A 24,900-nucleotide genomic window follows, 5' to 3' on the forward strand; every position below is an offset into this window, starting at 1 on the left:
GTAGACTCTATAAGAGCAAGGACTTTGTTTGGTCATCATTATCCCTATCAGCAGTGCATAGAAGACTGGCTGGCACATGATAGACAATTAGGAAACATTTGTGAATAAATCAATTGCTATGAGTACACTCAGCTGAATACATGCTCTCTTACTTTTTACAGATGATGAAACTGAAGCTAAGAGAGTTTAGGTAATTTTTTCAGCCATACAAGCTAGAAGGGGTAAAAATGAGTTTTAAACCAATAAAAGAGAATTATTTGTTGTACCGAATCCAAAACACACATTGCACGCAACACTGAATTCAGTGATGGAAAAGCCTAATAATTCTAATAATTCAATAGGAATGAAAAGGAACATTCACTTGGTGTAGTTAACAGAAGAGGTTAAAGACACGAAATGCAAACAAAAGCAATGTGGGCTTGACCATGAAACATGTGCTTTATTGGGGAGAAGCAAAAGAATAAACACACTTGCTCTCAGGATAGGAACCACCATCTACATCACAGACAGCAAAGCGAGATTAGGCAGTGATCTGGCTGCTCATCTTCCAACAACATATCGGTTTTCAGAACTAAGCCTTTTCTCTGTCAACGCTCAAGCCAGACAGAGGTTAGGGAAGATGCAGCCTCCCACTACAGCTGAAGGGAAGATGATGGAGTCCTGGGAGTAAGAAGAGCCACTGGATCTTGTTGTTTCATGGTCCTGATGAATTCTAGTGATGTTACTTGCTCTTGGGTGGATACTTCTGCTGGCAGGGTGGGTATGGTTGCACAGGAGGGCATTTATCCTGGCATGGTGGAGGTGGGCAATGCTCAGGTGGACAAGGAGGAGGCAGGTAAGGCTCAGGGCACTTCGGGGGTGGACATGGCTCTGGGCACTTTGGCGTGGGGCACACAGGAGGTGGCTGGCAGGGCTGCTTGCACTGCTGCTGCTGGTAAGACATCTCTCCTCAGTCTCAGAGAATCTGAAAGATACATACGAAACAGTGCTCATAAGAGAGACAGTCCTGTTGGTGGAGCAATTAGCTAGGACATCAAATCTCCAGTATCTAGGGACCAACTTTGATCCCTAATACAGTCTTTATGACTTTGTGAACCTTCTTCACACTTCACTTTTAGGACCTCTTACCCTCAGTTCTTCCGTCTTTCTGGCTGTTCTCTCATTCTACCATTTTCTGAAAATAAAATTGCCTATGAGACAGCAACAAATGTTGTCTGAATACAAACACTATCTGAAGAAGAAAAACTCAGATATTAAAAGTCTAGCCAATACCAAACAAATCTGTGCTCTTATCTTCCATGAGGCCCTAGTTACCAGTTTTAATGAGCTGGCTGTGGTGCTGAGCCATGAGTTTTTTAAGAGAATTGCAAAAACTTGCACCCATCACCCAAGGAGATTGCACTCCAAGAGAGATGTATTTGGAACAGATGTGAAGCAGGAGACAGAACAGCATCTTGTGTCTCTCACTCTCCTTCAGTTTAAGATTTTATATATTTGACTCCAGGTTCCTCATCACCTTCATGTTTATCTACCAAATACCAGCTAAAATTTACCTTCAAGACCTCATTATCTTCTTTTTCCTATCCATGAGGATAAATTGGTTAAAATAAACAGGCATTTCTGTACCCAGGTTAGACCCTAACACCATCCAAGTGCAAGAAAAGCTTCTAATATTTGTACTCACCAGAGTCTTCAAAGATCTACAACTGAATGGCAAGAAGATAGCATCAGTGTGGTGGAGAGTCCTTTTATAAGGGGCAGGCAGCCCTACACAGGGAACAGCCCAGGACTAGCATGATGTGCTTATTTCCCAACCAAAATACCACTTGCATGTAATCCATGCTGGTATCACAAAATTCCTAGTCCATGATCCTCCCCAGCAGGATAAGTGCACAGTGATTCACTTGGGACATTATCTCAGGTTCCTCATGCCAGTGGCAATTGTAGAACGTGACAAATTGTCTGACAATTGTGGTGCTTCCCTATAATTAGAGATGGTGCTTCTCCTACTTCCCAGCTTCCAAAGTATCCTGTATGTAAAACTACTCCCATTCAGTTGCACATGCCCAGTATCTAGCTGTGTTCTCTTTAGTAGAGACCAGTATGTGCTGATCCTGCAGCCTGGCTATATCCTAACCCTCAACTGCAGTTTTTCTTTACAACTAACTTCCCCTTTTATCATGGCCTATTGATCCTTAGGCTTTTCTTGACAATTAATTGACTTGAACAGGGTGACAAAATCATATATCAGCTTCCTAGATGCTGACAGCCCCAACCTGGGTGTGTTCTGACATGGTATTAATGGGCTTGAACAAGGCAACATCATCTCTCAGTTTTCTAGGCCATTAGAGTCATGTTGGGGCCCCTTCTTAAAGCTTCACATTTGCAGATTTACACACTAACCTCATCTCTGTGGCCCTTGTAACTATGAGTGACTTGTGGTCTACTAGAAATCCAAACTCATCTTCTCCCATTTTCTTCCAAACTGCCTTAATGTATGTGCTGCATCCATTTTGAAGCTTTTCTCCTACATGCTAATTCAATTTACTCCTTCACAATTTCTCTCTTTTGAAATGACATTTAGTAGGATTTCAGGCTTTCTTTGCACATTCGAGGAGTGAAGTTCTGTAAAGCTATTTATCCTGCTGTTTACTTCATGGATGTTTTTACCTAAATAAGTAAAGTATAGCTGGCACAGATCCCACGGATAATTTCTTAGTATAGCTTATTTAACCATATTAACACTTCAGCTAGTATTACTCACTGTCCCAACTTGGAAAAAACTTGAGTACCTTGGTTATGCATACATCTACAGCCACCACTACTGTGTGGAACTAAATATTTCCTAACCTCCTTGAAACACAGTTTACACAGCTGTAAAACAGAAATAAAAAATACACCTACCACAAAAGTCTCCTACAAAAACTCAAAGAGTGGCCTAAAATTATGCACATTACATAGTGGGTCTTCTAAGAAATATAAACTCTAAAATGTAGAAGAAATAAGAATAATAACTAATCATAACTAACCAATAATTTCAAACATGTCAAAAACAGATAATAAAGAATGGCATTGTTTAGAGTGAGGCCTATCTAGTGAAGATCCTTTCCCTGCATCCCCCATTCTTCTAGCTGTAGTCACTACTAATTAGACGGCATGGGTACCATAGCACCTACAGGGTCGGCACCTTGTTTTCCTGAGAAAGCCCCTCTCAGGGAAGATTTTTGCCTTGTGCTCTTTACCCAGAAGAATGCTGTGTTGTATCTGCAATGTTTCAAACTTGATTGGGTTGGTACAGTAGAGAAACAAAAAAAACTGAGGACCTAACATGGGAATTTGAAGAGGTAGGAACGTCTTTGAGTTGAGCCCTACTATTAAATTCTTTCTCAGCATCTCAGAGGAACAACATGAGGCTAGTTATCCCTCCCTAGTACTCTGAAACTAAACAATTTAGTCATCTAAGTTACTATCAGGAAACTGACACACTTCAGGGATGCCAGAAGGAACAGGGATGCTCCTGGGATGGGTGAGGCACTTTCACAGCGTTCTTTCTCATGTTGAAATCCTAGGAACCATAGCTGATGCATGCTGAAGAATTAGCTAAGGATTACGTGACTTAAAACAGTTCTATCAACACAATTTTAGACCTACTTTTCTTTGCCTCATGAATTACTAATAGATTCCAAAGTTATTTTTACCAATAAATTATTTGGTTTATCATTTATGCTTGATAAACTGAAGGAGGATTGGGCTTTTCAGAAAAGAATGCTTAATGAGGTTTGCCAGCTTCACAAAGGACAGTTTTTTTATAGAGAGAGAAAATAGCTAAAGGACAGATGATCCTCATTTTTCACAAATAATGGGCACTTGAAGCACTCTGTGCAAATTAAACCTCTGAAACTCACATAGTATCTACATGAGGGTTTGCTGGAGTTTACTTATAAACTAGTAACCGTGGTTATCTCAGGAGAATAGTTAAGTATCTAGGGAATAGGAGTGGGGGAGAGACTAACTTTTCACTGCATGACCATTTTCTTCTCTTTTGAATTTTGGTATCATGTATATTTTTTGCTTATTCAAAGTGTTTAAATATTTAAATGTTCAAAGATATTTTAAAATTGAAATAAATAAATCTGTGAGTAAATACTATGTTAGCAAACTGGCACTGTATAAACACAATGATTGAGTTAAGTCCTAATTAGGTGTGTAAATTTGAGCAATTTTCTTAACATTTCTGCAATTTTCAGTTTCTTCATTGAGAAATGGTAATAATAATACTTCTCTGACGGACATTTTTGTAAGGTGCAAATAAAATAAATAGTAAGCCTAGTAAAACAACCGTGTAAAGCTGGGAATTATGAGGCTGAATTACCTGGTCCCAAAGTTCCTGATTTGCCTAAAGATTTTGAAAAGAAGGACAAAGCTATTTTATGGGAGTCCCAGAAATGAAGAAACGAAGGAAGGTAGAGAGGGTAGAAGACAGGCGAGTGGAAAGAAGAGGAAAGGGGAAAGAGAGAGAGGATGACATTTCCCAAGGGCCATTTGATTTTACTTGATTTAACATTTATAGCCTAGTTCTTTAAGCTCCCAATAAAATTATTTCTATTTTAATAAATAAAGATATGCTGCTACTACATAATATGCCTTTAAGTTTTTGAGAATATAGAATTTAAAAATAATAGAATTAGAAATGAACAGAGATGGCAAGAGTGAGTGTCCTTGCTTTGCTCCTGATCTTAGAGGAAAAGCTTTTAATTTTTCACCCTCGAATATATTAGCTGTGGGTTACTCACATATGGCCTTTATTATGTTGAGATACATTTCTTCTATACCTAATTCGTTGAGTGTTTTAATCATGAAAAGATGTTGTATTTTGTGGAAAGCTTTATCTGCCTCTATTTAGATTATCATACAATTTGTATCCTTTATTCTGTTTATGTAGTGTATCACATTTATTGATTTGCCTACACTGAACCATCTTTTTTTTTTTTTAGAAAAGAAAGAAATTTATTGAACCATCCATCCTTGCATCTCAGGGATAAATCCCACTTGATCATGTTGCATTATTCTTTTAATGGACTACTAGGTATGCTAGTATTTTGTTGAATCTTTTTGCTTCTATATTCATCAGGGATGTTGGCCTGTAATTTTTTTATAATGTTCTTATCTGGCTTTGGTATCAGGGTAATGCCATCCTCATACAATGAATTTGGAAGTGGTCTCTCCTCAATTTTTGGAAAAGTTTAATAATAATTTATTAATACATTAGTTATTTAAATGTTTGGTAGAGTTTACTACTGTAGCCATGTGGTCCTGGATTTTTCTTTGATCACAGTATTTATATTGCTGATTTAATCTCCTTACTCGTTATTGGTCTGTCCAGATTTTCTATTTCTTCATGATTCAGTCTCAGTAGGTTGCATGTTTCTAGTAATTTATCAATTTCTTCTAGGTTATCCAATTTATTGCTATATAGTTGTTCATAAGCAGTCTCTTAGGATCTTTTTTATATCCATGGCATCAGTTTTCATATCTCCTCTTTCATATTTGATTTTATTAATTTGAATCTTCTCTCCTTTTTTCTTTATTAGTCTAGCTAGAGGTTTGTCAAATGAGTCATCTACAACTGCTGTCTCTTCTGTCCCACATCTCACTAACCCCTCAACCCATGGCAGTCTGGATTTAGCCCACCATCTACTGAAATTATTCCAAGCTTTCTGTCAGATAAACTGAGTCATTCTCCGTTTTTATCTTCCTAGACTTCTCTGCTACATGTCACAGTGCCAATCATTCCATCTTTCTCTAGAGTCTCTACTTACTGGTTTTCATAATATCCACTTAATATTCTCCTACTCCTGTGCTTAATCTTTCTCCTCCTTGATCTGAACCTCTTCTTCTAAATGCCAAATGGAGTCCTCTGGTGCTCATTCCATGGATCTTACCATCCTATGCATTCTCTAGTTACAATATCAATGATTCCTATGGTTTCAGTCATCACAAATCTACTAACTCACTCATCTACATTTGCACTCCAGAACTCACTTCAAACTTAAATATCCCCTTGCCCTCTAGATATCTCTGTCCAAATATCCTCAAGTACCAACAAGCTGATCATCTTTCCCACAAACCACTTGAACCTCCAGTATTCTCTATCCTGTACACCAATAATCACCCAGCTACTTGAGTTACCTTGACATTTTCGCCTCTACTACATGCTACTTATCTAAACTCCTCATTCTGACAGTTCAACAGCATAAGTATCTCTGGAATCCATCTCTCTCCTTCTATGCTGACTGCCATGCCCTAGTTCAGAGCCTCCTCATCTCTTGCTCGATTATTACCATAGCTTCCTAATATAGCTGTCTTCCTCTATCTTGTTTGATTTAAATCCATCTTTCCATTGCCATAAGAGTGATACATTAAAAAGTAAAATCTGACTACATCACTTGCATGCTTAAAATACTTTAAGTTCTAGGTCCATTACATAGCCCTTCCTTCGCCTCTAGCCTCATTCCTTATTACTCCACTTTTTGAACTGTGTGCTGTCATGTATCAAACTCTGTAATTTTGCTGACATACCAGTTTTTTCTATCCTCAGTGAATTTATTTACTAACCTGTAATATGCCATATTATTATTGTTTTACCGGGTTAATGTCTACACAATTCTCTAAAAGCCATCACTTCAATGAAAAGCCTTCCTGGATCCCTCCTATTAGGGCAGGTGACCCTACCTAAGAGTCCCATAAAACACTCTGAGCTTTGCATTAAGTGTTAAGTGCAACCCATCTGCATTAAGTGGATTCCCCACCCATATCCTTTTCCCTTGAGCTTGCGAGCACTTTGAGTAGTCAGACTGCAACTTCACCTACACTCAGGACATGATCCAATACCTGAAACAGAGTACGTGCTAGATAAATAGTTGTTAAAAAAATAATGATTTTAGTTTCTAAATTGTGTTGCCTTACATGAGTGTCACAACAATCTTGTGAGTTCTGAGGGAAAGAATATGCTATTACCTCTGTGACTAGAAAAAAATAACATTTAATATTCTACTGAATTACTCTGTGATTTCATGATTTTCCAGACATCTCATCTTTCCACTACATTAGCCCTGCCAAAATCCACACACCTACCTATAGCAATTGGAATTACAGATAATAGAGCCTTGACTATTTAGATTTGGGGCTCCTATATTTGGATACTCCATGACAATTTGTTCCAATGCATGTGATTGCTGAATAACTTTGTAAACACCATGTATCTTGCCAATGGATTACAAAAGGAATTGTCTAAAGAATTTTAAGACGCTGACATTGCAGAGTTTCTTTAGTTCATGTCTCCTGTGACAGAGGTAGTAGAATATTAAATATTATTTTTATAACATTTGGTAAGAGCAGTACATTTAAATACGCGCTGTTTTCCCTATCCTCCCTCACCCTCACCATTCACTGCCCACTGCTGATTGGTAGAGAAGTTTGTTTTGTTGTGTTGAACCAGATAATGGATAAAGAAGAGGACTAAAATAATACCAGAAAGCCTAGACAGAGTCATACTAAAAAGGACAGAAAAGGCAAAAGAGAAGGTAAAGGCAGCTACCATGCAAAAATTAGTACAAATTTGGGGAGAGAGGTAAAGAGGATTTTAAGTTATTTTGTGGCAATATAATTCCAGTTTGCCATTTGTTAAGTAAACGTCAGTATTTAAATTGATTTCCAATTGTGTTTCCTTTTTAGAACTCAGACTAATATTTCTTCTGAATGTCACCCTGTGCATAAGGTCAGAACAAGATTGTTCGGCTTTATTCAAAATATACAGAGCTCCTCAATTTACAGGGTAAACCACATGGTAAATTGAGGAGCTGGGGCTTACTGCCACTGCCCAGCATCACCCAAGAATATCACACCACTTTCTACTGAATGCATAGTACTTTGGCACCATCATAAAATCAAAAATATTGTAAGGAAAACTAGCATAAGTTGGGGATTATCTGTATTTTGTGAATTATTGCTCAGCTTTTAGAACTTAAGGTATAAGTTTCATATATATCTTTTTTGGATTACATGTAGAATAATCATTAATTTTGTTAAGTGTGATGATCATCTTGTGGCTATTTTAAGATATCTGTTAAAAACACATACTGACAAATTTATAGGTGAAAGGATATGATATTTGGAACTGTAAAATAGTTCAGTGATAAAAAGAACAAACAAAGTGTGGGAGAGTAGATGAAGTCAAGAATAACAAATTGTTGATAATTTTTGAAGCTAGGTGATGGGTCCAAGGGAGATTATAATACTCTTTTTTATTGCTTTTATTGAGGTATAATTGATATATAAAAACTCATGCACATTTAATATACACATCTGGATGAATCTAGACATATGCATATACCCATGATATCATCACCACAATCAAGACACTAAGCATATCCATCACCTCTAAAAATTTCCCTGTGGGTTTTTTTTTGTTGTGTTATTATGGGTTGGTTTGTTTTGGTTTGGTTTGGTTTGGGTTGGGTTTGGGTAAGAATGCTTAATGTGAAATCTATCCTCTTATATTTTAAAGTGCACAGTACCATTAGTCCGTTCTCACACTGCTTACAAGGATACTACCTGGGACTGGGTAATTAATAAAGAAAACAGGTTTAACTGACTCACAGTTCCCCATGGCTGGAGGGGGGCCACACTTACAATCATGGAAGAGGGTGAAGAGGAAGCAAAGCATGTCTTACATGGTGGCAGGAGACAGAGAGGGGGGTGGGAGGGGGGCTGCCAAGCACTTTTAAACAATCAGATCTCATGAGACGGCCCCATGATTCAATTACCTCCCAACAGGTCCCTCCCTCAACATGTGGGATTGTAATTCGAGATGAGATTTGGGTGGGTACACAGAGATAAGCCATATTATTCTGCTCCTGGACCCTCCCAAATCTCATGTCCTTTTCACATTTCAAAAACAGTCACACCTTCCCAACAGTCCCCCAAAGTCTTAACTCATTTCAGCATTAACTCAAAAGTCCAAGTCCAAAGTCTCATCTGAGACAAGGCAAATTTCTTCCACCTATGAGCCCGTAAAATCAAAAACAAGTTAGTTGCTTCCAAGATACAATGAGGGTACAGGCATTTGGTAAATGTTCCCATTCCAAATGGGAGAAATTGGCCAAAACAAAGGAGCCACAGGTCCCATGCAAGTCTGAAACCTAGCTGGACAGTCATTAAATCTTAAAGCTTCAAAATCCCCTTTTGACTCCATGTCTCACATCCAAGGCATGCTGATGCAAGGGGTAAGTTTCCATGGTCTTTGGCAGCTCTGCCCCTGTGGCTCTGCACAGTACAGCCCCTGCAGCTGCTTTCTTGAGCTGGCATTGAGTGCCTGCAGCTTTTCTAGGTGCACGGTGCAAGCTGTCAGTGGATCTACCTTTCTGAAGTCTGAAGGACAGTGGCCCTCTTCTTACAGCTCCACTAGGCAGTGCCCCAGTTGGGACACTGTGTGGGGGCTCCAACCCCACTTTTCCATTCTGCATTGCCCTAGAAGAGGTTCTCCATGAGGGCTCCATCCCTGCAGCAGACTTCTGCCTGGACACTCAGGCATTTCCATACATCCTCTGACATCTAGGCAGAGGTTCCCAAAGCTTGACTCTTGTCTTCTGCATGCCCGCAGACCCAACACCATATGGAAGCTGCCAAGGTTTCAGACTTGCACCCTTTGCAGGAAGCCATGGCCAGGGCTGTACTTTGGCCTGTTTTGGCCATGGCTCAATCTGGATGGCTGGGATGCAGGGTACCAAGTCCCAAGGCTGCACTGAGCAGTGGGGCCCTGGGCCTGGCCCACTAAACAATTTTTTCCCTTCTAGGCCTCTGTGCCTATGATGGGAGGGGCTGCCACGAAGATCTCTGAAATACTCTGGAGACATTTACCCATTGTCTTGGTGATTAACATTCCTTTCCTGCTTACTTATGCAAAACCTAAGTTTGAATTTCAAATCATATCTTTGTGAATGTATGTGACGGTATGCTTTCAGAAACAACCAGGTCACCTCTTGAATTCTTTGCTGCTCAGAAATCTCTTCTGCCAAATACCCTAAATCATCTCTTTCAAGTTCAGAGCACCACACATCTCCAGGGCAGAGGCAAAATGTCACCAGTCTTTTTGCTAAAGCATAGCAGCAGTGACCTTTACTCCAGTTCCCAATAAATTCCTCACCTCCATCTGAGAACAACTCAGCCTGGACTTCATTGTCCATATCTCTATCAGCATTTTGGTTAAAACCGTTCAGCAAGTATCTAGGAAGTTCCAAATTTTCCCACATCTTCCTGTCTTCTTCTGAGCCCTCCAAACTGTTACAATATCTGCCCATTACCCACTTCTAAAGTCACTTTCACATTTTTAGTTATCTTTATAGCAGTACCCATTCTGCTGGTACCAATTCTCTGTATTAGTTTGTTCTCACACTGCTATAAAGATACTACCTGAAACTGGGTAAAAAGAAAGCAGGTTTAATTGACTCACAGTTTTGCATGGCTAGGGAGGCCTCAGGAAACTTACAATCATGGCAGAAGGCAAAGGGGAAGCAAGGCGTGTCTTACATAGTGGCAGGAGAGACAGAGAGGTTGAGGGGAACTGCCAAACACTTTTAAGCCATTAGATCTCATAAGAACTCGCACACTATCACAAGAACAGCTTGGGGGAAATTGCCTCCGTGATCCAATCACCTCCCAGCAGGTCCCTCCCTTGAAATGTGGCAATTACAGTTTGAAATGAGATTTGGGTGGGTACACAGAGCCAAACCATATCAACCAGATTGTTAACCATAGGTATTATATTGCACAGCAGGTCTCTAGAATTTATCTTATATAACTGAAACTTTATACCCACTGAAAAACAAATTTTCTATTTCCTTCTACCCCAGACCCTGGCAACCACCATTCTTTTCTCTGCTTCCATAGGTCTGGATATTTTAGAAACTTCACATAATAGAATCATGCAGTATTTTTCCTTCTACATGACTGGCTTATTTCACTTAGCATAATATCATCAAGGATCAAACATGTTTTTGCAAATGACAGGGTTTCCTTCTTTTCTAAGGTTCAATAATATTACATTGTATATATATGCCACAATTTTTCAATTCATTCATCTGCTCATAGACATTTAGATTGTTTCCATATCTTGGGTATTGTGAATAATGCTGCAATGAACATGAGAATGCAGCTATCTCTTAGAGATCTTGATTTCCATTATTTTAGATATATCCCCATAAAAGGAATTACTGAATTATTTTTAATTTTTTGAGGAAACTGCATACTGTTTTCCATAGTAGCTGCACCATTCTTCATTCATGCCAACAGTATGTAAGTGCTCCAATTTCTCCACATCCTCATCAACACTTGTTATCCTTTGTTTTTTGGGAAGTCAGGAAACAACAGGTGCTGGAGAGGATGTGGAGAAATAGGAACACTTTTACACTGTTGGTGGGACTGTAAACTAGTTCAACCATTGTGGAAGTCAGTGTGGTGATTCCTCAGGGATCTAGAACTAGAAATACCATTTCACCCAGCCATCCCATTACTGGGTATATACCCAAAGGATTATAAAACATGCTGCTATAAAGACATATGCACATGTATGTTTATTGTGGCACTATTCACAATAGCAAAGGCTTGGAACCAACCCAAATGTCCAACAATGATAGACTGGATTAAGAAAATGTGGCACATATACACCATGGAATACTATGCAGCCATAAAAAATGATGAGTCCATGTCCTTTGTAGGGACATGGATGAAGCTGGAAACCATCATTCTCAGCAAACTATCACAAGGACAAAAAACCAAACACCACATGTTCTCACTCATAGGTGGGAATTGAACAACGAGAACACATGGACACAGGAAGTGGAACATCACACACCCGGGCCTGTTGTGGGGTGGGGGGAGGGATAGCATTAGGAGATATACCTAATGTTAAATGAAGAGTTAATGGGTGCCGCACACCAACATGGCACATGTATACATATGTAACAAAACTGCACGTTGTGCACATGTACCCTAAAACTTAAAGTATAATAAAAAATAATAACAATAATAGTAGTCATCCTAACACATATGAAGTCACATCTCATTGTGGTTTTTGCTCTTCATTTTCCTGGTGATTAGTGATATTGAGCATTTTTTCATATACATGTTGGCCATTTGTATTTCTTCATTGGAGAAATGTCTATTCAGGCACTTTGCCCAGTTTTTAATTAGGTTATTTGTTTTCTTGCCTTTGAGTTGTTTGAGTTCCTTGTATATTTTGGATATCAACCCCCTATCACATGTATGGTTTGCAAATATTTTCTCTCATTCTGTATGATGACTTTTCACTCTGTTGATTCTTTCATTTGCTGTCAAGAGGTTTTTAATTTGATGCAGCCCCACTTGTCTACTTTTTTATTTCATTGCCTGTGATTTTCATGTAAGTTTCATCTATAACTTGCATTAAATCATTACCCTAGGACTCACCTAAGAGACCCAGGCTGCCATTAGCTGGTCTGTTGGAACTCTGGAGCAAAGAAATGAGAATGACCATATATAAACTGTGAATAATCTTAGAAATCAGATGGACAGAAATTACAAAGACTACTCTAGAATTAGAAATATAACCTCAGGTAATATGCAGACTTTGAGAATCTTCACATCAAAAAGAAAATAGGTTTCAAATAATGGTAATTGACCTTTCTAAATTGACAATGTCTAAAATCTCCTTCATAAAATTAGAAGACAGAAAACTGCATTTCAACAGTCTCCATGATACCAATAGGGGGTTTTTGGTGGTGGTGGTGGTTGTTGTTGTTGTTGTTTAACTTTTATTTTAAGTTCAAGGGTACATGTGCAGGTTTGTTATATAGGTAAACTCGTGTCATGGGGGTTTGTTGTACAGATTATTTCATCACCCAGATATTAAGCCTAGTACCCATTAGTTATTTTTCCTGATCCTCTCTCTCCTCCCCACCTCCTCCCTCGGATAGGCCCCAGTGTGTGTTGTTCCCCTCTATGTGTCCATGTGTTCTCATCATTTAGCTGTCACTTATAAGTGAGAACACGTGGTATTTGGTTTTCTGTTCCTGCATTACTCTGCTAAAGATAATGGCCCATAGCTCCATCCATGTTCCGGCAAAGCACATGACCTCATTCTGTTTTATGGCTGCATAATATTCCATGGTGAATACCAATTGTTTTCAGGAATGCATGTCCTCTGTTGAATGGAGCAGGGAGCTACCCAGAATAACCCAAACACTCTGCCCTTCTGCTGTGCCTGAGCCAGGACATCCTGGAGGCTCCATTACTGCTATGCGTCCCACAATTAAACAGCAAGTTAGTGTGTCAGGGCTGGGGAAACAGACAGAATCACAGTTAAATTAGCCCACTGAAATGGTGCAGGCCCAAGACCCTGGCCTTAGAATTGCTTGGTGACCAGAGAGAAAGTGAGGGGCCGCAGGGTCCTAAAGCAGGACACATCATGGACTGGGAACCTCAAACTCCATGGCCTGACCACCTCAGACTTCCAGCTCATATCAGATGTTATGTCTTCCAGGAATCCTCTCCCAACTACATCTTTATCATTGCACTTGCCAATATATTTTAATTTTCTATGTGTCTTTATATTTTATACAAGATAGTATGAGCCCCTTAGGGCAGAGATAGTGCCTTACTCAATCTTGGGTCCCCAGTGCCTGTGACAGGGCATGGTACATAATTTGGGTCAAAGAAATATTATCAAACAAGTAAATAAACATCAGTTCTAATGCCTAAAATGACAATAAAGAATCTTCTGTCATGATTAGCAGGTCCAGTGATAATAATGGTAGAAACAAAACTGGCTTTTAACCGTCCATTCAATCAATAGTTTTACTACATAGCAGACACCATTAAAAATGCACAAGATAAAGATTTGAGCTGTTCATGACCCTAATCTTGAAGAATATACAGTGTATTGTGACAGACAAGACTTGCTTCCAGATGATCACAACATGGAAAAAGTGGCACTCGAAAAGAAGCATTATTTTTAGAACTGTGCATGGATTGTGTGTGATTTTGTGTGCACATGTGATTGATAAAAATGGAGCTGAGGGATCAGCAGACAAATTATCTCATAGGTGAGGTTAAAAATATGGTTGTCTACACATTCCAAAAAGAAGGCCATCTTGCCAAAGGCACATGAATTTCTAAACATCTCATCTTTCCACTATATTAGCCCTGCCAAACATCACACGCCTACCTATAGCAATTGGAATTATGGGTGATAGAGACTTGACTATTTGTATTTGGGGCTCCTATATTTGGGGACACATAAGAAAAGGGTAAGAGGTCTTCAAAATGTTAGCTGGGGAGCAGTGCATACCAATTCCAAAGCAAGTTTCAAAGCAAGAGGGGTGTCCCATCCTCTTTTTGGAGCCTAAAAATGCAGCTCTCAATCCTCTTAACCTTGGCATTCTGTTCTCAGCTCAGTCCTTCCTACTCACTTTGTCCCTCTGACTGCTCTCTTCCTTTCCCGAGTCTTCACCCCATCCATGTAACTTCTGTGCACGGCATCTGTGTCTCAGCCCTGTTGGGAGGCCATAGGAATGATATTCCTAAACAGCCAGTTAACATTTCGACCTAGATTATCACAGCTCTTGAGCACAGTGTATCCAAAACAAAACCCATCCCATTCTTCATAACCTTGCTGCTCTTCTGGAGGACCAAAACTCTATATCAACATCACCTATTCTGTCTTCCAAAGTCTAAGATTTTGAGTCATCTAAAATACCCTCATATTTCTCAGTCCTCACCAAATGGTATCAATACCGTTTCATACTAATATATAGTAATATCAATAATAACAATACAATTAGAAAGAGAACTTCCTTTTATATAATTTATCTCACACTAAGTTATGAAATATTTTCGTTCTCAACTGCGTTTTTCAAGTAACAGGTTTTACATGATTTTAAAATAACAGAAAATGTTATTTGGTAAACAAAACTTAATGGACAAAATCATTCACAACCCAAAGAACAATGATGGAGATTATCTAAGTGCCCTTGGGCATGGAGAGGCACAGGTCTCTAACTGACTGATAGGCTGGCTCAGCAATGAATGGCAGGACCATGAGGCCAGGAAGAGAGGTACAAGAAAGGTGAAAAGTGGGTGTACCTGGAAGTTTTGTCCACCAGCAACTATTCCTGGAGAAAGTCATTTAGTCCAGAATCTCTAATCCAATGCTGATGGGTGGTCAGAAGCTCAAAAGAGTAGTCTGAAGAGGAGAGGGGAGAAGGAAGTAAGTGGCTCTGTTATTTTAAAATAATTTGAGTACCAAATACAGTCATCCCTCAGTATCCATGGGAGATTTGTTCCAGGACCCTCCCATAGATACCAAAATCCACAGATGCTCAAGTCCCTTATATAAAATCACATAGTGTTTGTATATAACCTATATACATCCTCTGGTATAATTTAAATCATCTTTAGATTACTTATAATACCTAATACGATTCCTAAACATCACTTCATTGTGTGGGGTGGGTTCAGCATAGAACTCTGCACACTGCAAATTCAAGTTTCGCTTTTTGCAACTTTGTGGAATTTTTTTTCTGAATACATTTGACCCACAGTTGGTTGAATCCACAAATGTGGAACCCACAGACATGGAGTAACAGCTGTATGTTTAAGGAACCTATAAACTCTCCTCAGGCTAGAGATGGAAACTAGCAGGATAACAGGATAACTTCTACACACTTCTCTCTTCTCCCTACACACTTCTCACCTCTCCCTGGTGCAAACTTTTGGGAAATTATTTTTGTTTCCATCCATCAAGTTGATCAAAGATAAAAGTAACTTAGGTCCTCTGAGAAAAGGAGCAACTAGAAGAGGATGATGAATGAGATGGTTCTACCTGGCAGGAGCTGAAAATCAGATCCAGAATATTTGCACCCAGGCAGCTTTCAGGATGGGATTTAGAAAGCAAACATGGATGGATGGATGGATGGATGGATGGATGGATGGATGGATGGACGGACGGATGGATGGATCAGTTAATTGATCAAAATATAGGTGATTCTAAATATTGATAGATATTGAACTAATACAATAAATAGGATATTCTAAGTTAAAAAAATCAAAGAGAATTCATTGATTCAAGAACAGAGGAAGCCTACTACAGAGCATAAAACTGAACCTGGAGTAGATAACAGACTTCACAACAACTTTCCCACAGCTAGATTATGACAGACAGAACTTCCCAGGTTCCAGAACTTGAATCCTTTTTCTGCCCTTTCTGACTTCATTTTCCTAATTTATAATGTAAGTCTGGCTCCTCAGAGGCATCAAATAGAGACTCAGGGACCATTGTTCTAACACAAAACTGCAAGAGGATGAGGCTGGGATACAAATCTAGTGTTATGTTATCTCCTCTCCCAGAACTCCTTTGGTCCAGAGGTTAAGAAAACATATATAAAATGGGTTGAGAACACAGCATGTATTCTGGTGGGGAAGTGGCAGAAATAATGAAAAGTCTAAGACAAAATAATATATAATAAAGTCCTGGAAGTGTGGCTTTGGAGGGAAATCAGAGTTCCACAGGTGATAAGCAACGCCTTATTTCAGTCCTTCTGGTGTGTCAGTGATAGTGTATAAAACCTTCTTTGAAGATGAAAAACTAAACTCTTACTTTGGGGGCCTCTGTGACTGTGAGGCACAGGCTTCATGGCCCCACCAATAGCAGTGACAGCCTTGGGGTCAACTCAGAAGTGTCTTTCTTGTCCTGTGTTGGAATCAGGCTGAACCTCTGACCGTAAACTCCACAGGTGCCAATTTTGCTTTCTATTCAAGGCTCAGCTGTTTGGATGGTGCAGCTAATGCTCTTACTCACCCAAGCCTTCTCTTTCCCATAAGCCATCCCTAGTGCCTCACATGACACAATTCCTAGCTCCTTCTCTGCCCAGTCTCTTTCCTTGTACCTATATACTGGGTGGGTTGATAGGGCAGGTCCAGAGAATCATTCCTAATCTGTGTCTGGGCAGAGATTTTCCAAGGACAGTCTCAGGGAGAACTAGATTTCTGCCCTGCCTTGTACCAAGGAGGGTTCTGCATTTGTAGTTTTAGTTCTGATTATAGTAGAGGGGAATGAAAGGTTTTTAATCATTGAGGATGAAGAAGATTTGAGTGTTTATGAGCCTCTCCTACATGGGCATTTAACTTAGTTACTTAGGTTTTGTTGTTTGAGAAAGAACCCCATGTGAAAATCTGGTTTCTACAAGCCTTTTTGTTGTTGTTGTTGTTGTTCTCTTGGTCCCAAGGAAGTGTTCCTAATATCAGCAGCAACAAAAAAATTACTACCCCTTCTTCTCTCTTCCTTGATACCTAAGCTCTGATGCTGCACCCTCAAATAAGCAGAATTGGGCCTCTGGACAGCAGAGGACCACCCAACCAGGTAGAAGCAACACATTTCACAGTCTCCAGATCATGGGGATGAAGATCTCCAAGAATAGATATGTCATTTCATTCATCACTCACTCCCATATTAGCCCACATTATCAAGATCTGGAAGACCAAAGATGGATTTTGAATCTAAGAAAAGAACAGTCCTACTCAAAACTCTCTTGGGACAACTGATACCATCCACACAGAGACAGAAAATATCTTGATGTGCTTGGCACTTTAGGAAGTTGAGTATCACAGAATTTGAGGGCAGTTAAAAGAACTGTAAAAATCCACTTGATCTCTTCATAAAAGTGTTTAGGAAAAAAAAATCCACTTGAAAATTGACAAAGGTCTATAAAGGGAACATAAGTTGGAATGGAGAAGAGGGGCCGAGATCCAGAACCATGGCATAATCAGAATGGACCCTGATGCAATCTACTTTGATTCCACCACCACCATCACAGAAGGCTCAAAATATATATGAGATATTTGGATCCTAATAACCTTGGCATGCCATACTGCAGTTAATGATCTGAAGAAATAAATAAGAGACCCTTTGTTTTGGAAAAAAAATAAAATCTCTGGCCAGGCGTGGTGGCTCATGCCTGTAATCCCAGCATTTTGGGAGGCCAAGGCAGGCGGATCACCTGAGGTCAGGAGTTCTCAACCAGCCTGACCAACATGGAGAAATCCCATCTCTACTAAAAATACAAAATTAGCCAGGCGTGGTGGCTCATGCCTGTAATCCCAGCTACTCGGGAGGCTGAAGCAGGAGAATCGCTTGAACCTGGGAGGCAGAGGCTGTGGTGAGCCAAGATCACTCCATTGCACCCAGTCTGGGCAACAAGATTGAAACTCTGTCTCAAAAAAAAACAAAAAAGAAAAAGAAAAAGAAATCTCTAAACTAGGTAGGGTAAATTTGGCAATTACAGTAAGTTATTTTGATATGTTTACTGTATTGGTACCATATAAATTTGTTTTACATCTGTTTAATGATTAGAGATTAGGAAGGTGGAACTTAACTATTACTCTGCTAGATGCTGAATGTACAATGGAGGATAACTCAGAAAACATTTAAGTTCTCTGACCTTATCTTCTTATAGAAGATATAAGCCAAAATATGTAAACTTACAAGTAAATAATTTTAAATGATAATAAAGGTTTTTGGATCTTACCTGCTTCATTGTCATTTGGACCAAAAGTCATGTTTGCCCTCCACCACAATAATATAGTAATGTTTTTAAGAAGATTCAACAAAAAATACATTTTATTTAATCATGTAATACTTGCTAATAATATGGCAATTATCTTAATACATTAGCCTAATATTTGCTACCCCATGTCTTATAAAATATTAGAACCTGAGTATAAATGGTTCCATGATCCCATGAGCAGGAGAAATGCCATATTCTAAATCACCTTCTTGGTGCTCTGAGTAGTGTCTCCATCAAAGAAGAATCTGTTTTACTTTAACATCTCAAAAATAATATCACTAGGAGAGAAGAATGCTTTATATAACATAGTTATCAACACCAACCAAAAAGAATAGACTCTTCCACCAACTGTTGAAGCACCATCAGTTCTGGAAACACTCAGTTCCATAGAAGAACCTCCTAGACCAAAGGCTCAATGCAATGCCCATAGCTTTATCTATTTTCAACAAGCAGTCTGGGAATTGGTCTCTCAAAGTTCCACTTCAGTTGTGTCTTGATAGAACTTTCACTGAATCTTACATCACATAGAAGTATATCAGGAGCTCAACTCAGCACAGAGCTTCAGTTTTACAGCAAGAAAGACATGCATGTGAATGCCACAGAAATTGATTTCCCTCACAGTCTCATTAATTCTGTACCTATATTTTGGCATTTATAACAATCTGGTTTTGACTGTTATTATTTTTATCATAATAGCAGAATCATAATAGTTGCCAATTATTAAGTGCTTATTATCTGCTTGGGACATTACTAGATGCTATTTTATATTATCCGAAATTCTTAAATTTCAAAGAAGTTTTGAAGGAATTACATAAGCATATGAATGATCCTATGGAAAGGCATTGATACATTCTTAGAACTATTGAAGAGAACATAAAAGTATGCTAAAATACCCCCAGCAATGAAAAATCCAAATAAGTACCAAACGAAATCAGATAAAACCTGAGAAGGAAGATGCAGATTTGGACAACAGGGAATTCTTGGTCAATGTGCAATTTGAATCAGAAGAGCATAGGCTATGAGAGCACCCTATCTGGATGCCAATCCCAACTGTCATCTTGACTGTGTACTCATGAGTGTATGTGTGTGTGTGTGTGTGTGTGTGTGTAAGATGTAAAATTTGGCATGTTAGATCATCAAATAAATCAGCCTTGAGAAACAAAAATAAAATCCTAAGCCTCCCAACTGACTAAGTGGACCCGCTCTTGGCCAAGGGGGCCCCAGAGAAACCTCAAAACTGAGTTCCTAGCATTACAGAATGAGAGGTTGGAAGTGCCTTGTTATACTCCCTCCCTCACTAACCACCTTTAGGCTTTCTTCCCTCAGGGTTAAACAGAAACCAGCCCTTTTGAAAGACTTGCTCTCCAATGATTTCAACCAACCTTGTGACTACTCCTCCCTTTTGCCTTTGAACACAACAGTAGACCGACGTTCCTTCCTGATAAAAGGCCACCTACCAGCCGGGGTCGCGGTGGCTCATGCCAGTAATCCCAGCATTTTGAGAGGCTGAGGTGGGTGGATCACGAGGTCAGGAGATCAAGATCATCTTGGCCAACATGGTGAAATCCCATCTCTACTAAAAATACAAAAAAATTAGTTGGGCATGGTGGTGCACACCTGTAGTCCCAGCCACTCGGGAGACTGAGGCAAGAGAATTGCTTGAACCCGGGAGGCAGAGGTTGCAGTGTGCTGAGATCATGCCACTGCACTCCAGTCTGGCAACAGACCCAGACTCCATCTCAAAAAAAAAAAAAGCCACCAACCACAAAGTGGTTCTGGCCAGTCAACAGAGGATGCACAGTGATGACTTTCATGTCCTCCACTTCACCTTTTAATGTCAGAAGGCTGAAAACTTCAGCCTTCCATCATGTTAACACTGCCATTTTTTGAACAACCCAGGGCATGAAGCTCAATTGTGTATGTGCACATTTCTCCTTTCACAAATATTCATGACTCCTCCTATAGCTTATTCAACATGTATATTCAGCCACGCCATTCAGCATAAATTCCTGCCTTATTCTTCTCACCCTCCAAATATCTGTATTTCTGGCTTCTGGCTGGAGACTGTGTTTCCAAGTATGTCAGAATGGCTGCCTTGCAGACTGAACCGCTTTATGGAAAGAAAGCTCTCCTTTCCAAATATATGAATTTCATCATTCTTCAGTTCACAGTCTTACAGTTTATATTAACTAATATAACTAATTAATTTATTTAGACATGATTTTAAGTTACAAAGTGTAATGGAATTTGGTTAGGTTTCTAAACAGCATTGAAATGCTTAAGAAAACATAAGAATCAAAAGATGTATAAATTTTCTTCGAGTATGTATTTGGAATTGTATTAGTCAGTGGGAGACTTAAAGTACTCTAAAATTGAGGATATCAACTTGGTAACCTCAGTTTAAGTTGTTAAGAGAGTTTAACCGAAGTTGTTAACTGGATCAATTATTACTCCAAAGCTCCTTGAAAAAATTACACAAATTTCTAGAATTTTAATTAAATTAATAACATTAGTTATCTAACTTATGGCTCACAAAAAGCTGTATAATTGGTAACTTTAATAAAGTAAATATAAATTTTGTAAACCAAAGTGTGCCTTAAATCATCTTTGTGATACACAAAAGCCAACTTCAAGGACACAAAAACAGCGTATGGCAATGAAAAATGAACAGAAAACAAAAGCTTTATGAGTTGCAAAGAGCAGGCAGAAAAGGTAGACCTGGGTTTAGGAATCAACTCCAGAAGACTACTGGGCAAGAGGACAAGAGAGAGGAAAGGAGGGAAGAAGAAAAGGTGGAAGAAGGGCTTGATAGAGAGATAAGAGAGGTATTCCATGGCTTCAAAAGAAAATACTTTTGATTTTAAAAATTAACCAGCATATGGTAAATCAGCTCAGGATCCCACAGACCCACATACCAGGCCCCTCACTTGCTTTTCTCCCACTCAAAGGTCCTACCTCCCTGCACCTCCCCACGGCTGCCCACCACCCTCTGAGAGCCACCTCTGCATATGGTGATTCAGGCCAGGACCCCACAAATCCACCTAAGTAAATCAGCACTGGCTGGTCAGTGACTCAGAGAGGTGGCCAACAAGTGAGGAAGAACAGGGTATCATGGGCAACTGACACAGAAATTCTCAAAGACCTAGAAGATCCAGGATCCACGATCAGCTCATTCCACCCTCTTTGGCCTTGGCAGTGACATCACATGGGAGGGTCAATCCTCCCTCTTTTCACGGAAGAGTACTTTGCTTGGCAAGGCTGTTCTTGTCACTAGTGTTTATTTGTTCACACCTGCCTTAAATGCCAGTATGACTGAAATGTTGAAACTCTCTCATCTTCATTGGTTTAGCCTAAATTTTCCCAGGCAATTAGTTTCTCTGAATATGAGCAGGTAAACACCCTTCCTTCCTCCACCCTTTTCCCGGCCGTCCTGGGACTACTTGAAACACAGGTGTGTCTTACCACACACAAACACTAAAACTCAAAAAGAGAGTAAATAACAATTACAGCTACTATTGAGCTAATGGATTGCATATAAACATTCAAGATTCTTGGACTACAGGAGCCTTTACACCCACTCGCCTCCCCAGGAATGCTTCCCTGTATTCATTCATCAGACTGACATTTGAGAATTTGGGTTATACGGACTTGTGTGATCACACCATATACCCTTTCAGTACCTGAATCTCCACTGCACATGCCACCGCTTTTCCTCCACCCAGCCTACCACCACTCACCACTACGGACATTTCTTCAGCAGATAATTGCTCACTTTTTCCACTGGCTAGGGCTTGGGTATCATGCACCAAAATGCTGAAAGTTGACTGGAAACCCTGTGTATTCATCTCTGGTGAACAGCCACCTCTCAACTTCACAGCTGCCAACAGATGGTGGTCCCATCTCCCTGGCACAGATAGTGAAGTCTCTTTTTTTGCCCAGGTATGGTTCCATAAGCACAGTTTTCCCTACCAAATAATACAACAAAGCAAACACATCAACCAGTGAAATTAGTGGATGTCTAACATTACCCAAAGACCACAATTCCCCTCTTGAGCTCTGCCCAATGCTTCTGCCCTCCCCTCCCATGCCCCCCGAATCCCCAGCCCTGTACTCCAGCTATCAGTATCTACGTCTGTCCTTTGGCCATGTACTAAGGACTTGTTCAGACCTTCTTCTTTGGTTTACCAATTTCCTTTTACACTCAACTTTAATCCTCCATTGAAATTGGAGCGACCTACAGCTTCAGGTATCCAGCATCCTCCTGAATACATGAGACAAGTGACAGTCAAGCCATGTCCCATGAGAGGACCAGGAATTGGCTTCCACTCTACTTCACCTCTCACCTTCCAGGGTCTATCAACACTCCCTGACTGAAAAAACTATCCTTAAATTATAACTCTCATGCTCAGAAGACCAGGTCTACTTCTCCAGACTGTCCCATTTAGTTTTTTCTAATGAACCTTTTTATCTATCAATTCCACAGAGTTCTTTCCTGGTGGCACCTATCACAATACGTGGTCTGGTCTCATGCGGTTGACTTTTGCTGTAGCATTACAACATAAGTTCAAGTCTTCTATCACTAACCTACCACCTACCAGTCCTTGCACACATCCTTCCCCCACTCAAGAGTCCTGCCCCCAATGCACCTCATTGCACCTTTCCTTTGGCTGCCCCCACAGAGACCCCAGAGATACTGTGGGAAAGGGCTTCTGTGTCCTCTTTCTCCCAGGCTACCCTTCCTCAGGAGATGGAAACCTTGCTAGTCACTCAATACCTGCAAAACTGGAGTTTCCGGTACAAAAAAAGAGTTAGACACATCACATTAGTAACTGGAATGAGGCACCCAAAAAACGGAAAACTGGGGCAAACCCTTTTGTTTTCCAAAAGTTTGACTGTGCTTGGGATCAAAGGTACAAGATTACTTTTTATGCCACCTTAATCCTCTGAAGCAGGAAGTTGAAGAAGAGACAGCTACTGGGATTATCCCTAAAAGGAGAGAAGAGTTCCATTAGGGCTTGGGCTAGCCTTCATCTGGGCCGGAAGAAGATTGTATGGTTGGACTGACAGTGACCACTTTTTTCAAGGTGGGGTTTTAAAGAATTAGGATAGTTAAGTGCATAAATAGACAGGCGGACAAACATAATATAATTCTAGAATTAACTTTGGAACTCTTACAAGTCTTCAATATTAGAGATGAAGAAATAAAGTCATGGAGATACTGAGGAACTTCACTCAGACAGCACAGCTGGTTAATGTCAGTAAAGCTAGCATCCACATGTTCACATCCTATCTCACGTTCTTTCTACAACCCCAAGAGGGCTTACTTCACTTAAATTGAAGTCAAATCCCAGCTATTCAGAAACCACAAAGAACAGTCTTCAAATGAGGACACAGACCTGAGAATTTGAGTGAAGGCCTTGGGACAGAACATGGCTAACACTTCCAGAACCCCCAGGCTTGTGATATTCGATTACTCCCTGGCTGCTCTTTCAGAGCCTGTGGTTTGGACAATAAGAAAGAGTGAAGTTGTCCTACAGACAGAGGGAAATAAATATGGAGGTTGTCCTACAGAGAGAGGGAAATAAATAGAGGGAAATGATGGAGGCTCTAAAGGGAAGTCAAACAGAAAAAAAAATCTCAGATAAGAAAAGGAATCATGGGATCAGAAGCACATATTGAATGGAAATCTGCTCTAAAATACCTCCTGATGGTCTTTCAGCCTCTGCTTGAAGTCTGTCCACAATAGAGTGCTCTGTACAAGGGAGGCAACCAGATTTATTATTAATGAACTTACTTAGAAACTATTTCCTTGGTTGGACTGAAATGTGCTTCCCAGTGACTTCTGTTACTTTAGGAGAATTTTGCTCTGAACTACAGAGCGGTTCCCTCCTTGTCACTGGAGGTGTCAGAGCAGAGGCTAGAAGTCCTGAGTCAGTGATGCTCCAGGGAGTTCCTTCCATGGGGTTGGAGGTGGCAAGACTCAAGTCTCTCACTGGCTTCAAGAATCATTTATGCCTTGGTTCTTCCCCACCTAGGCCACTCTTCCACCTGCTCATGGACTCCTCGGGAAATTTTACAGATTCTTTCACACCATAAAGGATGGGGCAGGAAAGATTCACTCAGTAATTCAGAGGCATTCACATTTTTTACTTTGTTATAGTTTAATTTTTAGCAGATGGGCTCAGAAATTCATCTATGAGAAGGCCCTATGAAAGAGTCTATTTGAAATGTTATAGGGACATAC

At 39.9% G+C, this 24,900-nt stretch overlaps 1 protein-coding gene across 3 annotated transcripts in view; it reads right to left on the bottom strand.

Moving 5' to 3' along the window:
• Positions 1-414: 414 nt before the first annotated feature.
• The window catches only part of SPRR2G (small proline rich protein 2G), a 53,697-nt gene continuing 29,211 nt past the window's right edge, over positions 415-24,900 (bottom strand). The window contains exons 5-6 of one of the 3 annotated variants that reach the window (XM_017002177.2): positions 15,178-15,277; positions 415-964 (exon numbers count right to left, since the gene is read on the bottom strand). In XM_017002177.2, coding sequence (XP_016857666.1) covers positions 722-943 — 222 coding nt within the window. In that variant the 5' untranslated portion in view covers positions 944-964; positions 15,178-15,277 and the 3' untranslated portion in view covers positions 415-721. Of the gene's footprint in view, positions 965-1,684; positions 1,724-14,504; positions 14,529-15,177; positions 15,278-24,900 lie in introns of those variants that run through there. The other 2 variants (XM_017002178.2, NM_001014291.4) reach the window with 2 other exon arrangements.

Source organism: Homo sapiens, chromosome 1 (genome assembly GCF_000001405.40).
Source record: "Homo sapiens chromosome 1, GRCh38.p14 Primary Assembly".
NCBI classification, from domain to species: domain Eukaryota; kingdom Metazoa; phylum Chordata; class Mammalia; order Primates; family Hominidae; genus Homo; species Homo sapiens.